This window comes from Homo sapiens, chromosome 10 (genome assembly GCF_000001405.40).
Source record: "Homo sapiens chromosome 10, GRCh38.p14 Primary Assembly".
Classification (NCBI taxonomy): Eukaryota; Metazoa; Chordata; class Mammalia; order Primates; family Hominidae; genus Homo; species Homo sapiens.
In genome coordinates this window covers 79,581,104-79,601,140 of record NC_000010.11, presented here as the reverse complement: position 1 = coordinate 79,601,140, position 20,037 = coordinate 79,581,104, and the positions used below count along the sequence as shown (strand labels likewise).

At 42.4% G+C, this 20,037-nt stretch overlaps 2 pseudogenes, besides 1 other annotated feature; both read left to right on the top strand.

Moving 5' to 3' along the window:
* Window positions 5,484-7,194, top strand: SFTPA3P (surfactant protein A3, pseudogene; annotated as a pseudogene).
* On the top strand, window positions 16,264-18,843 carry MBL3P (mannose-binding lectin family member 3, pseudogene; annotated as a pseudogene).
* Window positions 16,441-16,940: an enhancer, noted in NCBI's record as "H3K4me1 hESC enhancer chr10:81343957-81344456 (GRCh37/hg19 assembly coordinates)". NCBI's record gives its function as "activates a minimal SCP1, AML or CMV promoter by ChIP-STARR-seq in naive and primed H9 embryonic stem cells {active_cell/tissue: H9 hESC(naive and primed)}" and the evidence as "EXISTENCE:reporter gene assay evidence [ECO:0000049][PMID:30033119]".

Genomic DNA, 20,037 nt, shown 5'->3' with positions numbered 1-20,037 from the left:
ATGAGTTCCCTTTTCTCTGCACCCGCACCAGTATTTATTCTTTTTTGTCTTATTGATAAAAGCCAGTCTACCTGGGGTGAGATAATTTATTTTGGTTTCATTTGCATTTATCTTAGGAATAAAGATATTGAGTGTCATTTATATACGTGGCCATTTTTATGTCTTCTTTTGAGAAGTGTCTGTTCAGATCATTTGCCTATTTTTAAATTGGATTATTTGAATGTTTTGCTGTGGAATTGTTTGAGTTCCTTTTATATTCAGGATATTAATCCCTTATTGGATGAATAGCTTGTGGATATTTCTCCCACTCTGCAGGCCGTCTCTTCACTCAGTTGATTGTTTTCTTTTCTGTGCAGAAGCTTTTTAGTTTGATATAACCATATTGGCTTATTTTTGGTTTTTGTTCCCAGTACTTTTGAGGTCTCTCCATAAAATCTTCATCCAGACCAATATCCTGAAGCACTTCTCCTATGCTTTTTCCTACTAGTTTCATACCTTTGGGTCTTATGTTTAAGGCTTTAATCCATTTCATGTTTTTTTTTAATGTATAAGAGATAGGGGTCTAGTTTCATTCTTCTGCATATGAATATTCAGTTTTCCCAGCACCATTTATTGAACATTTATTGTCCTTTCCCCCAATGTATGTTATTGGTGCCATTGCCAGAAATCAGTTGGCTATAAATATGTAAATTTATTTCTGTGTTCTCTATTCTGTTCCATTGGTCTATGCATCTGTTTTTATACGAGTACTATGCTGTTTTGGTTATCATAGATTTGTAGTACATTATGAAGTCAGGTAATGTGATGCCTTCAACTTTTCATTTTTTGCTCAGGATTACTTTGACTACTTGGTGTTTTATAGTTCCACACAAACTTTATGATTTTTTTCTTTTTCATTTTTTTAAAATAAACATGGGTATCGGGGGAACCCACCCCCAATAATTCAACATGAGTCCTTTTCTATTTTCCCTAAGTGTCGGCCAGTCTGAGAAATAAAAGGAAAAAGTACAAAAGAGAAATTTTTAAAGCTGGGTGTCCGGGGGAGACATCACATGTTGGCAGGTTCTGTGATGCCCCCTGAGCTGTAAAAGCAGCAAGTTTTTATTAGCAATTTTCAAAAGTGAGGGAGTGTAGGAGTAGGGTGCGGGTCACAGAGATCACATGCTTCAAGGGCAACAAAAGATCACAAGGCAGAAGGTCAGGGCAAAACTAGAATCACTAATGAACTTCCATGTCCCGCTGTGCACGCATTGTCAGGGTTCAAGGGCAGAGAACTGGTCTGACTAGAATTCGCCAGGCTGGAATTTCCTAAATCCTAGCAAGCCTGGGGATGCTGCAGGAGACTAGGGCGTGTTTCATCCCTATCTACATCTGCATAAGGCAGACATTCTCAGGGCGGCCATTTTAGAGGCCCCCCCGGGAATGCATTCTTTTCCCAGGGCAGTAAATTATTAATATTCCTTACCGAAATAATTCAGTTATATTTATCTTATCCGTTTTCGGTAATAAGAGAAATATGGCTCTGTCCTGCCCAGCCCACAGGCAGCCAGACTTTAAGGTTATCTCCCTTGTTCCCTGAAAATCGCTGTTACCCTGATCTTAAGGTTCCCAGATTTCATATTGTTCAAACACACATGCTCTACAAACAATTTGTGCAGTCAATGCAATCATCACATGGTCCTGAGGGGATATACATCCTCAATTTACAAAGACGACGAGATTAAGAGATTAAAGTAAAGACAGGCATAGGAAATCACAAGAGTATTGATTGCGGAAGTAATAAATGTCCATGAAATCTTCACAATTTATGTTCTTCTGCCATGGCTTCAGCCGGTCCCTCCGTTCGGGGTCCCTGACTTCCTGCAACACATGGGGTCTCGCTATGTTGGCCAGGTTGGTCTTGAATTTTTGACCTCAAGCAATCCTTCTGCCTCAGCCTCCCAAGTGCTAGGATTATAGGCGTGAGCCACCACACCTGTCCAGGATTATTTTTTCTTGTTCTGTGAAGAATGTCATCGGTATTTTAATAGGGATGGCATTGAATCTGTAGATCACTTTGGGTAGTAAGGTCATTTTTATCAATATTAATTCTTCCAAGCTTTGAACATGAGATGTCTTTCCATTTTTTTGTATCCTCTTCAGTTCTTTTTCTTTAGTGTTTTCTGTTTTTTTGTATCCTCTTCAGTTTTTTTCTTCAGTGTTTTATAGTTTTCCTAGTAGAGATTCTTCACTCCTTCATTCAACTTACTCCTAGATATTTCACTTTTTGTAGCCATTGTAAATCGGACTGATTTTTTTATTTCTTTCTCAGCTAGCCCATTATTGATTTATAGAAATGCTACTGATTTTTGCATGTTGATTTTGTATTTTGCAACTTTACTGAATTCATTTACTAGATTTAAGTGTTTTTTGGTGGAGTACTTAGAATTTTCTATATACAAGATTGTGTTGTCTGCAAACAGGGATAATTTTATTTCCTCCTTTCCAATTTGGATACTCTTTATTTCTTTCTCTTGACTGGTTGCCCTGGCTTGAATTTCTAATACTATCTTGAATAAGAGTAGTGAAAGTGGGCATCCTTGTCTTGTACAAGATCTTAGAGGAAAAGCTTTAAAATTTTCCCCATTCAGTATGATGGTAGCTGTGCATTTGTCATATATGGCCTTAACTGTTTTGAAATACATTCCTTCTACACCTGATTTGTTGAGCATTTTTATGATAAAGGATGTTAAATTTTTTCAAATGCTTTTTCTGCATCTGTTGAGATGATTACGTAGTTTTCTCCTTCATTCTGTTGATGTAAAATGTATCACATTAATTGATTTACCTAAGTTGAACCCTGAAAACCTATCCAGTTGTCTCATAGAGTTGATGTTTATAGTTTCTTTGAATAAGCATAGAAACTGATCCTCCTAGTCTTAAAAACTTGAAAAAGTTACGTTTATCTTATCTGAGTTCCTTTCTTGGGAAAACAACCATCAGCTCTCCCAGACAGTATTAAGGAGTTGAAACTCACCAGATCACTGCATTTGGATGAGACATCAGACTTATTACCTGTCATGACTGCTTAACTGACCACCTGCTTCCTGTTGACCACTCCTCTTTTTTAGCCCTCCCTGATTCCTGTTATCCCACACATGGTTACATTTCTTCACTGCTATATAACCTAATTTTAGCAGGTCAGGGAGATGGATTTGAGACTGATCACCCATCTCTTTGGCAGCAGAACTCAATTGAAGCCCTTTTCCTTGGCAATGCTCATTGTCTCAGTGATTGGTTTTCAGTGTGGCGAGCAGCGGGACTTAGACTGAACCCCTGGTGTTGTGGTAACGTTGTGTCTTTGTCTGGTTTTGGTATCAGGATAATGGTAGCCCCATGGAATGAGTTTGGAAGAATTTCTCCCCCTTCAATTTTCTTAAATAGCTTGAAAATAATTGGTGTTATTTCTTCTTTAAAAGTTTGGTAGAATTCAGCAGTGAAGCCTTCCAGTCCCAGAGTTTTCTTTGATGGGAGATTTTTGTTACTGATTAAACCTCATTACTCATTTCTAGTTGTTCAGGCTTTCCATTTCTTCCTGGTTTCATCTTAGTAGGTTGTATGAATCCAGAAATTTATCCATTTCCCCTAGGCTTTCCCATTTGTTGATACATAGTTGTTTATAGAAGTCTTTAATGATCCTTTGTCTTTCTGTGGTATCAGTTATAATGTCTCCTTTCTTGTTTCTGATTTTTGTATAGGTCTTCTCTCTTTTTTTCTTACATTTTCTAGCTAATGGTTTGCGAATTATGTTTATTTGTTCACAAACCCAACTTTTCAGCTGGGCATCGTGCCTCATGCATGTAATTCCAGCACTGAGGTTAAAGCAGAAGGATCATTTGAGGCCAGGAGTTTGAGACCAGCCTGGGAAACACAGCAAAAACTTGTCTTTGAAAAACTAAAAAAAAAATCTTAGCCTTGTGTGATGACACATGCCTGTAGTACCAGCTACTCAGAAGACTGAAGCAAGAGGATCACTTGAGCACAGGAGTTGAAGGCTGCAGTGAGCCATGATCATGCCACTGCACTCCATCCTGGGTGACAGTGCAAGATCTTGTCTCAAACAAACAAACAAAAAATTCCCCAACTTTTCATTTTGTTGATATTTTGTACTACTTTTTTACTCTACTTTTTGTTTATTTCCACTCCTTTTTTTTTTTTTTTTTTTGAGATGGAGTCTCACTGTGTTGCCCAGACTGGAGTACAATGGTCCAATTTTGGCTCACCATAACCTCTGCTTACCGGGTTCAAGCGATTCTCCTGCCTCAGCCTCAGGAGTAGCTGGGATTACAGGTGTCCGCCACCATGTCCAGCTAATTTTTTTGTATTTTTAGTAGAGACAGGGTTTCAACATGTTGGTCAGGCTGGTCTCAAACTCCCGACATCAGGTGATCCACTCACCATGGCCTCCCAAAGTGCTGGGATTACAGGTGTGAGCCACAGCGCCCAGCCTCTGCTCCAACTTTTAAAATTTCTCTCTTTTTACTAATTTGGGGTTTGGCTTTTTTCTTGCTTTTCTAGTTCCTTAAGATGCATTTTAGTTTTTATCTGAAATCTTTCTACTTTTCTGATGTAGGCATGTAATGTTATAAATTTCCCTCTTACCACTGCTTGTGTTGTCTACCATAGGTTTTGGTATGTTGTGCTTCCATTTTCATTTGTTTTGAGAAATTTTTAAATTTCCTTCTTACTCCATTGTGGTCAAAAAAGTTCTTGATATCATTTTAATATTTTCATTCATTGATTCTTACTTTGTAGCCTAAAACAATGTATCCTGGAGAATGTTCCATGTGCTGATAAGAAGAATGGGTATTCTGTAGCTGTCAGATGAAATATTCTGCAAATGTCTGTTAGGTCCGTTTGGTCTGCAACACAGTTTAAACCAACTTTTTTTTGTTGATGTTCTGTCTAAATGATCTAACACTGCAGAGAGTAAACTGTTGAAGTCCCCAATTATTATTGTATTGGAGTCTGTCTCTCCTTTTACATCTAATAATATTTGTTTTTATCTTGGTGTTCTGGTGTTGGGTGCATATATATTTACAGTTGTCATATCCTTTTGATGAAGAGAAGAGTGTGGACATTCAGGTCTTCGGAAAGGAATGATGGTTGCCTTTTCTGATGTTTCTGAATGGCCCAGAGATGACAGAAGTATACACGATCCACTCCTAATGACTTAGGAAAGCAAGGTCTCTGCCTAATCTTGCTTTCTATTGAATCCCAGAAAATTGCACCATTTCTGGCAATAAGTAATTGTTAAATAGATTAATGAATAAATGGATGAGAGCCTAGAAGAGAATTTGGAAAACTAGGATTGGGGGAGGGACAAACGACACAGAGGCAGAGATGGAGAGGCTGCAGAGAGCCTGATGGCAGACAGCCCAGGTGAGGGAGGTGGCTTAGAGACAAAGTGATCAGAGGCCTGACCCAGACTCCTCTGCTCTCAGCCCTCAGTCTTCAGGGCTCCATACCGGCAGTGGGAGAGAAGGTCTTCTTCACAAACAGGCAGTTGGTCTATTTAGATGCCATTAGTGAGGCATGTGCCAGAGCAGGCAGCTGCATTGCTGTCCCTAGGAGTCCAGAGGAAAACGAGGCCATTGCAAGATTTTTGAAGAAGTACAACATGTATGCCTACATGGCCCTGGCCAAGGGTCCCAGCCCTGGAGACTTCTGCTACCTAGATGAGGCCCCTGTGGACTACACGAACCGGTGCCCAGGGGAGCTCATAGGTCAGGGCAATGAGAAGTGCTTGGAGATGTACACAGTGGAATGACAGGAGCTGCCTGCGGTACTGACTGATCATCTGTGAGTTCTGAGAGGAATTTATGCCACAGGACAGGGAGGATCCTGTCTGGCCTTCAGCCTCCATCCTGAAGCTCCACTTGGTTTGTGAGATGCTGAAACTCCCTTTCAACAGAATTCACTTGTGGCTATTAGAGCTGGAGGCACCCTTAGCTACTTCATTCCCCTGATGGGCCCTGACTCTTCCCCATAATCACTGACCAGCCTTGACACTCCCCTTGCAAACCCTCCCAGCACTGCACCCCAGGCAGCCACTCCTAACCTTTGCCTTTGGCATGAGATGCAACCCTCCTTATTCTCTATCTGGTCCAGTTCCTTCACTTACAGATGGTAGCAGTGAGGTCTTGGGGTAGAAGGACCCTCCGAAGTCACACAGAGTGCCTGCTTCCTGGTGCCCTTAGCTCTCCCTCTGCAGCCCAGTGCCATCAGGATGAGCAGTCCCAGCCAAGCATAATGACAGAGAGAGGCAGACTTCAGAGAAGTCCTAACTGTGTGGAGCTAAGGACACAGTGGAGATTCTCTGGCACTCTGAGGTCTCTGTGGCAGGCCTGGTCAGGCTCTCCAGGTGGTCAGAGGGCCCAGTGGTGCCCCAGAATGGTGGTGCCCAAGCCAACCCTGTGACTGACATGTACGATTCACTCCTTTGAGTCTTTGGATGCCAACTCAGTCCCCTGACCTGAAGGCAGCTGGCCTATGCCTCTAGGGAAGAGCCCCCCACTGCAGACGTGATCCAAGTAATTTTCTGCTGATGGACGAATCTGCACCCTACTTGAGACTTCAGTGGGCATTCACACCACCCCCCACACCACCGGCTCCACTTTCCCCTTTCATTAATCTATTCACCCAGATAATCATTAAAATTAACATGGGCCAGGTCTTAGGATGTGTCTTGAGGTAGGCAAGCTAACTGGTGACTCTTGGGGATTTTTTTCCCTGAGCCTATGTCTTCATCTATAAAATGGGGATAAAATACTTGTTGTTGTCACAATTATTACCATTACCCTCAGCTAGCAAAATTACCACCAGAGCCGTTACTACACACAGAGGCTATTGACTGAGCACATACCATGTGCCACACACCTTGACAAGCAATTCTAATATAGCTTATTACGTATTATTCAATCTTCACACAATGTCATGGGGCCAGTATTGTTTTCCCCATTTTTTTTATAAGGACACTGAAGCTTGGAGGAGTGAAATGTTTTGAGTATTATTCTAGAGAGCAAGTGGCAGAGGCTGGATCCAAACCAATCTTCCTGGATCTGAAGCTCATACTCCCAGCCACCCCAGCCCTGAGCTGAACAAAGAAGACTTAAATGTATGTAATAAATCGTCAATATTTTCATATGTGTTTCCTCTGTTCTGGTTCCAAGAAATATCACATTTCTGTATTTTTGTAAGTCAAATGAACCCTGGCTCTGAGCCCCCACTTTCCTCAAGATTGGAAAATTCAATCTCAAGATGTGCTTTCTTTGTTTGATGGGAGGGGCCAACTGCTCTCCTCCCTGAGATGGTGCAGGAGAATGGGGAGCTACAGACACCATTTGGAAGAACACATGGGCATCATGAATCCACATGGTCCATTTGTGGGTGGGGATACCATGCCTTCTGTCCTCCACACAGCTACCTGAATGATTTCTGCAGCCCAGCAGTGATGGTGGTACTCAGGGCTCAGTCCCAGGCCTCAGTGAGTCATCCTAATTTCAGGTCAGCATGGAATGGGACCACACTCCCATACCCCAGGGCTGTGCAGGAATGAGACCATGTCCCTACTTGCTTGAGGAGGCAGCTACATATGTGTCCCACCTCCCACTTCTCTCCTGTAACACTGTCCCAGAAAGGCTCCCACTTCTCCACCCTCAACGCCTGTGAACACTCTTCTTTGGCATTTATGCTTTTCTTGGGTGGAAGGAAGCTCTGAATCAACACTCAGAAAACCAATGAGAATAAGGGGAACAATTTCTCAGTCTTTTATGAATGAAAAATTTTAATCTGATCACCATTCTGCATGCACTTAGGATGCAGCACACAAATTATTGAGGCCTCCCCCAAATTATTTTAAAAAGAAGAAGAAGGATATACAGATATTCCTTGACTTATGATAGGGTTATATCATGATAAATACAGTGTAAGATGAAAATATCATAAGTTGGGAATGCATTTAATACACCTAACCTATCAAAAATCATAGCTTAACTTAAACTACCTTAAACATGCCCAGAACACTACATTAGCCTGCAGCTGGGCAAAATCATCTAATACATGGCCTATTTTATAATAAGGTATTGACTATCTCATGGACTTTATTGAATACTGTACTGGAAGTGAATGAATAATTGTATGTGTACTCGAAGTGTGGCTTCTACTGAATTCACATCACTTTTGAACCATTGTAAAGTTGATAAATTGTAAGTCAAACCATCAAAAATCCAGGACCGTGTATAGTCCCAATTTTATAGACAAATACTTCAAGCCTCTGAAAATTGATATCTTCTTGTTTCTTATTAGTATTATTTTTACTTTCTTTATGCTTTTATTTGCTATTGTTACTATTTTTATTAGATTTTAAATTAATTATTGCTGATTTGTTAAAAAAAAAACTCTTAATTTCTGTTTGTTGATCTTATACCCAACCATCTTTTGGATTCTCATTTTCCCCCAATACTTCTAATATAACTGATTCTGTTATATGTATATATATTTTATTATACTTTAAGTTCTAGGGTACAGGAGCACAACGTGCAGGTTTGTTACATAGGTATACATGTGCCATGTTGGTTTGCTGCACCCCTCAACTCGTCATTTACATTAGGTATTTCTCCTAATGCTATCCCTCCACCAGGCCCCCACCCCGCAACCGGCCCCAGTGTGTGACGTTCCCCACATTGTGTCCATGTGTTCTCATTGTTCAACTCCCACCTATGAGTGAGAACATGCGGTGTTTGGTTTTCTGTCCTTGTGATAGCTTGCTCAGAATGATGGTTTCCAGCTTCATCCATGTCCCTGCAAAGGAAATGAACTCATCCTTTTTTATGGCTGCATAGTATTCCATGTTGCATATGCACCACATTTTCTTAATCCAGTCTATCATTGATTGACATTTGGGTTGGTTCTAAGTCTTTGCTATTGCGAATGGTGCTGCAATAAACATATGTGTGCATGTGTCTTTATAGTAGCATGATTTATAATCCTTTGGGTATATGCCCAGTAATGGGATTGCTGGGTCAAATGGTATTTCTAGTTCTAGATCCTTGAGGAATCGCCACACTGTCTTCCACAATGGTTGAACTAATTTACACTCCCATCAACAGTGTAAAAGCATTCCTGTGTCTCCACATCCTCTCCAGCACCTGTTGTTTCCTAACTTTTTAATGATCACCATTCTAACTGGCATGAGATGGTATCTCATTGTGGTTTTGACTTGCATTTCTCTGATGACCAGTGATGATGAGCATTTTTGCATATGTCTGTTGGCTGCATAAATGTCTTCTTTTGAGAAGTGTCCATTTATATCCTTTGCCCACTTTTTGATGGGGTTGTTTGTTTTTTTCTTGTAAACTTGTTTAAGTTCTTTGTAGATTCTGGATACTAGCCCTTTGTCAGATGGGTAGATTGCAAAAATTTTCTCCCATTCTGTAGGTTGCCTGTTCACTGTGATGATAGCTTCTTTTGCCATGCAGAAGCTTTTTAGTTTAATTAGATCCCATCTGTCAGTCAATTTTGGCTTTTGTTGCCATTGCTTTTGGTGTTTTAGTCATGAAGTCTTTGTCCATGCCTATGTCCTGAATGGTATTGCCTAGGATTTCTTCTAGGGTTTTTATGGTGTTAGGTCTCACATTTAAGCCTTTAATCCATCTTGAGTTAATTTTTGTATAGTATAAGGAAGGGATCCAGTTTCGGCTTTCTACATATGGCTAGCCAGTTTTCCCAGCACCATTTATTAAATAGGGAATCCTTTCCCCATTGCTTGTTTTTGTCAGGCATATCAAAGATCAGATGATTGTAGATATGTGGTGTTATTTCTGCGGTCTTTGCTCTGTTCCATTGGTCTATCTATCTGTTTTGGTACCAGTACCATGCTGTTGTGGTTACTGTAGCCTTGTAGTATAGTTTGAAGTCTGGTAGCATGATGCCTCCAGCTTTGTTCTTTTTGCTTAGGATTGTCTTGGCAATGCCTTCTCTTTTTTTGTTCCATATGAACTTAAAGTAGTTTTTTCCAATTCTGTGAAGAAAGTCAGTGGTAGCTTGATGGGGATAGCATTGAATCTATAAGTTACTTTGGGCAGTGTGTCCATTTTCACGATATTGATTCTTCCTATCCAGGAGCATGGAATGTTCTTCCATTTGTTTGTGTCCTCTTTTATTTTGTTGAGAAGTGGTTTGTAGTTCTCCTTGAAGAGGTCCTTCACATCATCTGTAAGTTGGATTCCTAGGTATTTTGTTCTCTTTGTAATAATTGTGAATGGGAATTCACTCATGATTTGCCTCTCTATTATTGACGTATAGGAATGCTTGTGATTTTTGCACATTGATTTTGTATCCTGAGACTTTGCTGAAGTTGCTCATCAGCTTAAGGAGATTTTGGGCTGAGACAATGGGGTTTTCTAAATATGCAATCATGTCATCTGCAAACAGAGACAATTTGACTTCGTCTTTTCCTAATTGAATACCCTTTATTTCTTCCTCTTGCCTGATTGCCCTGGCCAGAATTTCCAACACTATGTTGAATAGGAGTACTGAGAGAGGGCAAGCTTGTCTTGTGCCAGTTTTCAAAGGGAATGCTTCCAGTTTTTGCCCATTCAGTATGATATTGGCTGTGGGTTTGTCATAAATAACTCTTATTATTTTGAGATACATTCCATCAATACCTAGTTTATTGAGAGTTTTTAGCATGAAGGGCTGTTTTTGTTGAAGGCTTTTTCTGAATCTATTGAGATAAACATGTGATTTTTGTCATTGGTTCTGTTTATGTGATGGATTATGTTTATTGATTTGCATATGTTGAACCAGCCTTGCATCCCAGGGATGAAGCCGACTTGATCATAGTGGATAAGCTTTTTGATGTGCTGCTGGATTCAGTTTTCCAGGATTTTATTGAGGATTTTTGCATCAATGTTCATCAGGGATATTGGCCTAAAATTCTCTTTTGTGTGTGTGTGTCTCTACCAGGCTTTGGTATCAGGATGATGCTGGCCTCACAAAATGAGCTAGGGAGGATTCCTTCTTTTTCTATTGATTGAAATAGTTTCAGAAGGAATGGTACCAGCTCCCCTTTGTACCTGTGGTAGAATTCGGCTGTGAATCTATCTGGTCCTGGACTTTTTTTGGTTGGTAGGCTATTAATTATTGCCTCAATTTCAGAGCCTGTTATTGGTCGATTCAGAGATTCAACTTCTTACTGGTTTAGTCTTGGGAGGGTGTATGTGTCCAAGAATTTATCTATTTCTTTTAGATTTTCTAGTTTATTTGCGTAGAGGTGTTTATAGTATTCTCTGATGGTAGTTTGTATTTCTGTGAGATCGGTGGTGATATCCCTTTTATAATTTTTATTGCATTTATTTGATTCTTCTCTCTTTTCTTCTTTATTAGTCTTGCTAGTGGTCTATCTATTTTGTTGATCTTTTCAAAAAACCAGCTCCTGGATTCATTGATTTTTTGAAGGGTTTTTTGTGTCTCTATCTCCTTCATTTCTGCTCTGATCTTAGTTGTTTCTTGACTTCTGCTAGCTTTTGAATGTGTTTGCTCTTGCTTCTCTAGTTCTATTTTTATTATTATTATGCTTTAAGTTTTAGGGTACATGTGCACAACGTGCAGGTTTGTTACATATGTATACATATGCCATGTTGGTGTGCTGCACCAAATGCACTGTTTTGGTTATCTCTTGTAAAATTCTGACATTTGGACCCAGCAGATGGACTGATTTTATGGAGCATGGGGAGAAGAGGAGGAAGGACAAAGCTGTGACCAGGAGTGTTCTGGGGCAATGTGGATTGCAGCACCGTGGACTGAGTCTCCTAGGGGGCTGTGTGAATGCCAGTATCACAGGAGCTGCCTGGGGTTCACACCCTACTCATGAGCAAGTTGCTTCCTGGAACTCAGGGATCCCAGCAACAAGATATTATGGACTGAAATGTGTACTGGTGCAATGGTGAGGGTAAGGGACATGCAGCTAGAGGCAATCATTGAGTCTCTTTCCTGAAGAACCAGCTGCTGAAAGGAGCTGTCATTTGTAATCAGTCACACAAAGGTCCCCAACAACCAGTCAGTGTGGGCTGAGAGGCAGTAGTGTACCTACTGACATGTGGTTCCTCTTGTGAGCAGATATTGCCCAACATTGGCACCAACAGCATTCTCTCTACCCCCTGCACATGCAAAGAAATAAGAGAGCAGGCCACTGCACACCCTTCACTTCAAGAAGCAACAGCTTCAATCTGAGCCACAACTCTATGGCCTGAGTGGTGAAATGACAAAACTGGAGGACAATGTCATCTGTTTGGACTGTGTTTGAAATCAACCCTAGAAAGTTTGCATTACAGGAGTCTGGGAAAAAAATGTATGAAGAATTTTCAGACCATGTACTAGTTTTGGGAACAGGCTTCAAGCTTCAAGATTGCACGGATCTGAATTAGGCTCTTAATAAAACCTGTTATTTATTAAACTGTGATTTGCATCGATTTATTTTTTGATGTTGTGCCATCCTTGCATCCCTTGGATATACCCGACTTGGTCTGATGCTATATATGCTCATCACACATCCTATGGGCCAGGCACTATACTAGTTAAACTTATTAACCCTATTTTACAGATGTTATTATTCTCCCCTATTTACAAATAAGAATGTCAAGGGATATAGAGGTTAAAGTGATTTGCCAAATATTATGCAGCTAGTTCTTGGGCCAATGAATGTAGGAAGTCAGATTCCAGAGACTGCTATTAACCATGAATACAGGGCTGGACTTTACTGTTGTAAGCGCTTGAGAGGGAAATTTACTGTTGTGTTAGCTGACTGATACAATATCAATGATTAATACAAAAGGTATAAGAAATTAACAGATCAGCCCAGGCACAGTGGCTCATGACTGTAATCCCAGCACTTTTAATAGTTATTTTTTAAATTGTGTTTTTGCCTCTCTGCTTATAAATTAGATTTTCTAAAAGTTCCCTTCTTTTCTTCAATCCTTATCCATTCTGAATTACATGTTCAGCTAATCATCTCAGCTAAGTAGTATTTTGGATACAAGCCATTTCTATAAGAGAGTAGTAATTTCTTCTCTGAAGATTTGATACAACTCACCTTAAAACCATTTTGTTGATGGAGGTATGGTTGTTAATTTTTGACTTCCATTTCTATATTTTATGATTAGTGATATATCAATTACTCTGATATATCAGTTATTCTTGAGCCAACTTAAATAATACTAAACTTTCTTATAATATAGATTTTACCAATTTTCCATATGTTGCTATAAAATTAACTGTACATAGTGTGATTTTATAATGTCAGTACTATCTGTACTAGTATAATAATCCCTTTTCCCCCTGATTTGTTTGTTGTTGTTGTTGTTTGTTTGTTTGTTTGAGATGGAGTCTCGTTCTGTAGCCCAGGCTGGAGTACAGTGGCACGATCTCGGCTCACTGCAACTTTCCCTCCCAGATTCAAGCAATTCTCCTGCCTCAGCCTCCCAAGTAGCTGGGATTACAGGCATGCACCACCATGTCCAGTTAATTTTTGTATTTTTAGTAGAGATGGGGTTTCACCATGTTTGCCAGGCTGGTCTTGAACTCCTGACCTCAGGTGATCTGCCTGCCTCGGCCTCCCAAAGTGCTGGGATTACAGGAGTGAACCACTGTGCCTGGGCTGATTTGTTAATTTCTTATACCTTTTCTATTAATCATTGATATTGTATCAGTCAGCTAACACAACAGTAAATTTCCCTCTCAAGAGCTTACAACAGTAAACGTTTTATTTTCTGCTCTGGATCTTCCAGTTTGTTGAGCTTTGGCTGATTTCAGCTGAGTGGGCCTGGATTCAGCAGCAGTCAGCTGGACTCCAGACTTTCAGGTGAATTCATGACTGTTCCATATCACTTTCCAGGGATACATACTTCTCATGATTGGGAAAGAAACACAAAGGCCATAGCAAACCTGTAAGCACACGTTAAGCTGCTGCTCCCTTCGTTTCAGCTCAGGGTCACATGGCCACACCAAACAGCAAAGGGGCTGGAGTGTTTACTCCTCACACTCCAGTGGGAGCCTTTGTGAAGTCCTATGGCAAAGGGCCTGAGATGTAATTTTACAACATGGAGGAAACAACCCAAACTACCATGGCCATATCTGCTAAGTTTATGTCTCTTACAAAGAACCAGTATTCTATTTTATTAGCTCTATAGTTATTTTTGTTTATTAATTTAATTATATAATTTTCATTCATTCCTTCATTATACCCTCTTTTGAAGTGCATATTAATTTATCTGTCAGGTAGGGTCCACACTCCTTGTAGGGCTATTTCTGAGGTTTGTCATATCTATCAGCTCTCACTCTGTTTGTCCCCTACTATATTTGGTAATTGTCCCATGGTGAACTCAAATCTGCCTGGCCTCCATCTGAGACACCACTGAGGTGCCTGGGCTACGGGTGTGATTCTCCACTGCGTTTATGTCTCCACAGTGCGGGAGATCATGCCACGCTGAGACACTGGAAACATAATTTTTCATCTTGGCATAAATAGCAGAATTCTGTAATAGTCGTAATAGCAACATAAATTCATCCCCAGGTCTATGAGAGGACAGACCTATGGGTACACATCCTTGGGGGATAATCTTATCCCCTCCAGAATCCAGGCTTTCTCAGGTTCCTTTGCTCCTAGGTGTATTTACTTCCTGTCTACCCTCTTCCCGCTCAAACCACCCTTTCTCTAACTCTGCAGCACAGTTAGCATACTGGTTCAACGCAAATCTGTCAGTTTCACATTCCCACCTTCCTCAGAGGTCTGCCTATTTGCTGAGCGAATTGAAAGTCCTTTGTCCTCTGGGCCTATGGGCTCTTCAACATTGTGTCAATGGCATCAGGAGACACAGCCTTGAGAGGGATCTTCTTTACCACGGAAGCACCTCTTGGTGCCTGGCAGGCCCCCTGAATGGGAACCGGGAGGGCCGCTGGACAGGGCCTGATGACATGAGTACACAAGGGTGAGGACCCTTGAGAAGCCAAAATGCCTATCACAAGGCAGAGTCACAGGGAAGTGACCCACCCCACTCCCCACCTGGGAAAAACAAACTTCTCAAGCTGTTTGGTGACATGAAGTGTTTCAAAGAATGGGTGTGAGTTTGGAGGAAGGCAAGCATCAAAGATCGTATCCGGGACCTGGGCAGCTTGACTAGGCTCTGGCGACAAGAACTGGACGCTTCTGGAAACTCAGGCCTGGACGAGCACAGATGGTCTGGTGTCTGCTTGAGGTCTCTGCCTTTCTCCTCTCCCTCGCACCCAGTCCTCCTGTGTGCCCAGCCCTGGTTTGCACCCTGGGGACAGAGAGGTGAACTGAGAATAGAAAAGTGAGATCACTGGTAAAGGGGGCACAGATGGTAGCTCCAGCCAGAGAGAAGAGGGCTGATTTGAGGACACACTGCTGGAGGATTCATTTGTTCCATAAATGTTTATTGAGTATTGACTCTGTTTCCAGGCACTCTTCTTGGTGGAGAAAGAACAGCTGGGGAACAAGACCCCTGTTCTCATGAGCTTCTCGTTCTACAGGGGTGGGGTGGGTGATCAATCAATATGCAACCAAATAAACAAAACAGACCCACATGGAAGCAGCAATCGGCAGAAAATTAGAACAGAGAATTACAACTCACTGACAGAGTGACTACTTAAAATTACCGGGTTAGCAAAGACCTTTCTCCAGAGATAATATTTAAGCTGAAAGCTGAGTGACAACAAATAAGCATGCAGAGATGCAGGGACATGTCCAGGCAGAGGGAACAGCAGGTGCCAATGCCCACATTCAGCTGTGGATTGAAGTCATCTGCAAATACCCCTTCTCCTTGTGCCTGGCCTGGTGAGATGCCCAAACAAGACATTTGCAAAGGTTCTAAATGAGCGGAGAGGAAGGAGGTGACTCAGTGCTGGGGGTCTTTAGTCTCTCACCCTGGCCCTGCAATAAACGAAACACAAATGGAAGTAGTCGATTGAACTGATACAAAGGTATGTGCACGTGCATCTGTGTGTGTGTCCCTGTACGTGTGTGTGTGCGTGTGTGTGTGTGTGCATGCGTTTGTCTGGTGGAAGATCTATGCATGCTTTTTCTGGAAATAAATATCTGGAGAAAGCTACCCTAAGAACCTGTGACTCTGGAGGCTCAGAGGTGCTTAGCTGTGGAGACAAATGCCTGGGAGGGAGCAGTGCAGGATGGGGTGAGGACACTAATGTAGAGAGCTGCCTAGCGCTGTGCTGGAGACCCAATGCATCCCAGGCAGAGATGGGTGAGACGGACCCAGTGGGGAAAAGGGAGATCCAGGTTTGGTCTGTGTCTTTCTGAATCTCCACCTCCAGCAGGTGTCTCCTCCAAATGAGGGTTTGAGTACAGACTTGGGGAGGCTCCCCTTTCATCAGGACCCATGCTACACTCAGAACAATCCCTGTAAAATGCCATTGCCTCTAAAACAAAGCTGCTCGCTGACTCTCTGGGATCCCATATTTCCACACAGGAATTGGGGATGTGTGGTTGTCCCTACAGAGGGGTGTCCCACCTGGTTAGAGAGCTGGCCTTGGTGCAGGCCCTCCCCTAGGATGCAGGATGGGGCATCTTTCTTCTTTGGGTCACCATTAGCTTGCTGGCTGTTCCGGGGGTGAACATGAATGGAGTATTGAGCTTTTTGGAAAAAAAATGACTGCTGGCCACTGGGTCATCTTCCCTTTGTCTTGCAACAGATCAAGGGCTCAGAGGTTTGCAGGGCCCTCCTGGGAAGTTGGGGCCCCCAGGAAACCCAGGGGCTCCTGGAATTCCAGGACCAAGGAGCCAAAAAGGAGATCATGGGGACAATTCAGGTAAGAGGCATACCTCAGCATGTGTGGCCTGGGAGCCCCAGGGCCTGGGGAGCTGGAGGGCCAGCTGGGAGGTCCCCTTCTCCTGCTTCTCCTGCTGCCTCGTGGGAAGGTGCTCAATTCTGCTTCCTGGCCCAGTGCCCCCGGCCCTCTCAGCTTTACCTGGGGCCTGAGGAGACTCCCATAGGTGCCCAGGTACAGACATTCAAGCCACGTAGGGCTATTCCCTCGTCAGGCCCTTTAGCAGATGGGCCCCGGCTTTTCTTCAGCGGAAACAGTCCAGTGTGCACCTCTGGGGTGCCCGGGAGGAAATAGGCCCTTTAGGGGTTGGGTTTATGTCCATTGTCACAAGAATGCATGAAAATGGTCTGCTTCTTAGGACCCCTGGCTGACAGAGAACATCACAGCAACTTAGTTCAGAGTAAAATAGAGCAAATTCAGTAAGAACAAAAGAACAATGACAACCCACTTATTCATATTTGTCTACCAGCCTGTCAAAACAATAAAGGTATTAAAAAGTGTATCTGGAATGAGAAATGAAAATGAATGACAAAGAAAAGTTTTCAGAAAGAAGAGTAATGAGTTGAGTATTTTCTTATGAATTCTTACAATATGACAATATGCAAGCCGTATGTGGAGACGGGGGTCCAGGACTGAAGTTCCAGGTTGTGAAGGGATGCGGAGGTATAGCTGGGAAGGAGGAATGTAGTCATTTTCCCCTTTTTATTTCTTCTGCATTCTTATTTTCCTGGAATAAGCATTCGTCTTAGTAAGCCACTTCATTTTTTTCAAAATGCTCCACTCTCCAAATTAAGGTCTTCTCCATAAATACCTTCTCCCTATTGCGTTGCAGTTGCTGAGGCTAAGCTGGCCAACTTGGAGAGCTACAGAGCCTGAGATCAGAACTGGACCACACGAAGAAGTGTGAGCTTTCTCTCTGCCCATAATGTGTTCTTGGCTCTCACTCTTTTCTTCAGCGCACCCTAGATTTGGAGGAGGTGGGAGGGGAACTAATTCATGAGCGCTCGTCCTACACCAGGGCCTGTGCTGGGTGGCATTTTCCCATAAGATGGTTTCATTCAATCCTCTCAGCAACCTCAGTTGTGGTTGTTGAACTTGCTTTATTGACAGGTGAGGAAACCGAGGGGCAGGAAGTGTTAGTGACTCATTTCAGGTCACACAGCCGGGAAGTGGCAGGGGAAGGGTTGGATGGAGATCTGTTGTCTCCAAAGTCTGTGCTCCTTCCTTGTCATCTACTGTGCTCTGATGTCTGTCCCTGCCTCTTCCTTATCCTGGTGCCCAAGCCTGCAGTGAGGCCCAAGACCGTCTCCCTATGTGTACCTGTGCTGGGGCAGGTTTTAGCAGATGCTTTTTCAAGGTGGGATACCCAGGGGAGTCTGGGCTGTCTGCAGGAGTCTGGATGCCCCTTCCCAGGCTCTGCAGCTGAGGCTTACTTCCTGACCAGGCTCTGGCCTGAACTGCTGGGCATAGGGTGATTTTTCAGAGGTCTGGCTTCCCAGGGAACTCAGACTGCTTGCCTACTGTCCTGTGCTGGGCTCCAAACCCAGCCAGCCTCACTCACCATTTGTGGTTTCAGTGTAAGCCTTCTCCTTGGGGAAAATGTCTGGGAAGAAGCTTTTCATGACCAACGGTGAGCGGATGCCTTTCTCCAAAGTGAAGGCTCTGTGTGCTGGGCTCCAGGCCACAGTGGCTGCCCCCAAGAATGCCAAGGAGAATAAGGCCATCCAGGATGTGGCCAAAGACACTGCCTTCCTGGGCATCACAGATGAGGCAACTGAAGGCCAGTTCATATACTTGACGGGTGGGAGGCTGACCTACAGCAACTGGAAGAAGGATGAGCCAAATGACCACGGCTCAGGGTAGGACCGCATGATTCTCCTGAAGGACAGGCTCTGGAATGACATCTCCTGCACTTCCTGCTTCCTGGCCATCTGTGAGTTTACCGCCTGAAGAGGCATGTTCCTCGGCCCCCTCCTTGGCTCCCAGCTGAACTCTCTGCTGTCCCTGCAAATTAATATGTTGAAATCTTAACTCTCCAGGTGATAATATTAGGAGATGGGGATTTGGGGAGGTAATTAGGCCACGAGGGCCTAGGCTAATGATTGGGATTAGTGTCCTTAGAGCCCCAGAAGAGATTCATAGAGTTAGTTAGTCCTTACACCCTGTGAGGACAGCCAGAAGGTGCCACCTATGAATCACAGAGCAGACCCTCACAAGACACCACATCTGTTGGCGTCTTGCTCTTGGACTTTCCAGCCTCCAGATCTGTAACAAGTACATTTCTGTTGTTTTTAAGCCCTTCAGTTTGCAGTATTTTGTTATAGCAGCCTGAAGGGATTAAGACAGCGCCAAGAACCAAAACCACACAATATTATAAAATACTAACAATGCAATGGCTGCACATAAGGTCTATTCAAAATTTTTATACTATGTTATACTCCACTAATTAAAAATGATTTTTTGCCCATTTTCTAATTAGATTGTCTGTTTTTTTGACTGTTAAGTTTTGAGAGTTCATTATACATACTAGATACTAGCCCTTCATTGGATATGTGATCTGTAAATATTTTCTTAACAGTCTGCAGCTTGTCTCTTCATCCTCTTAAAAGCGTCTTTCACTGAGCAAAGGTTTTCCATTTTGGTGAAGTCCAGTTTATCAATCTTCTTTTAATATATTGTGCTTTTGGTGTCAAGTATATGGACTTTTTGCCTAGTCCAAGATTGCAAACATTTCTTCTATTTTTTCTAAAATTTTATAGTTTTACATTTTAATTCAAGTCTATCATCCATTTTGAGTTATTTTTTGTATAAGATGTGAATCTTAGATTGACATCCCCCTCTCTCCTTGTCTCCCTCCCTTTCTTTCTCCCTCCATCCCTCCTTCACTTCTTTCTTTCTCTTTCTTCCTTTCTTTCTTTTTCTTTCTCTTTTCCTTGCCTTTCCTTTATCTTTTCCTTTTCCTTGTTTCTTTCCTTTCCTTTCCCTTTCTGTTTCTCTTTCTTTCTTTCTTTCTCTTTCTCCTTCCTTCCTTCCTTTCTCTCTCTTTCTCCTTTCTTTTCCTTTATCCTTTCCTTTTCCTTTTTTCTTTCCTTTCCCTTCCTCTCTTTTTCTCTTTCTTCTTTCTTTCTTTCTTTCTTT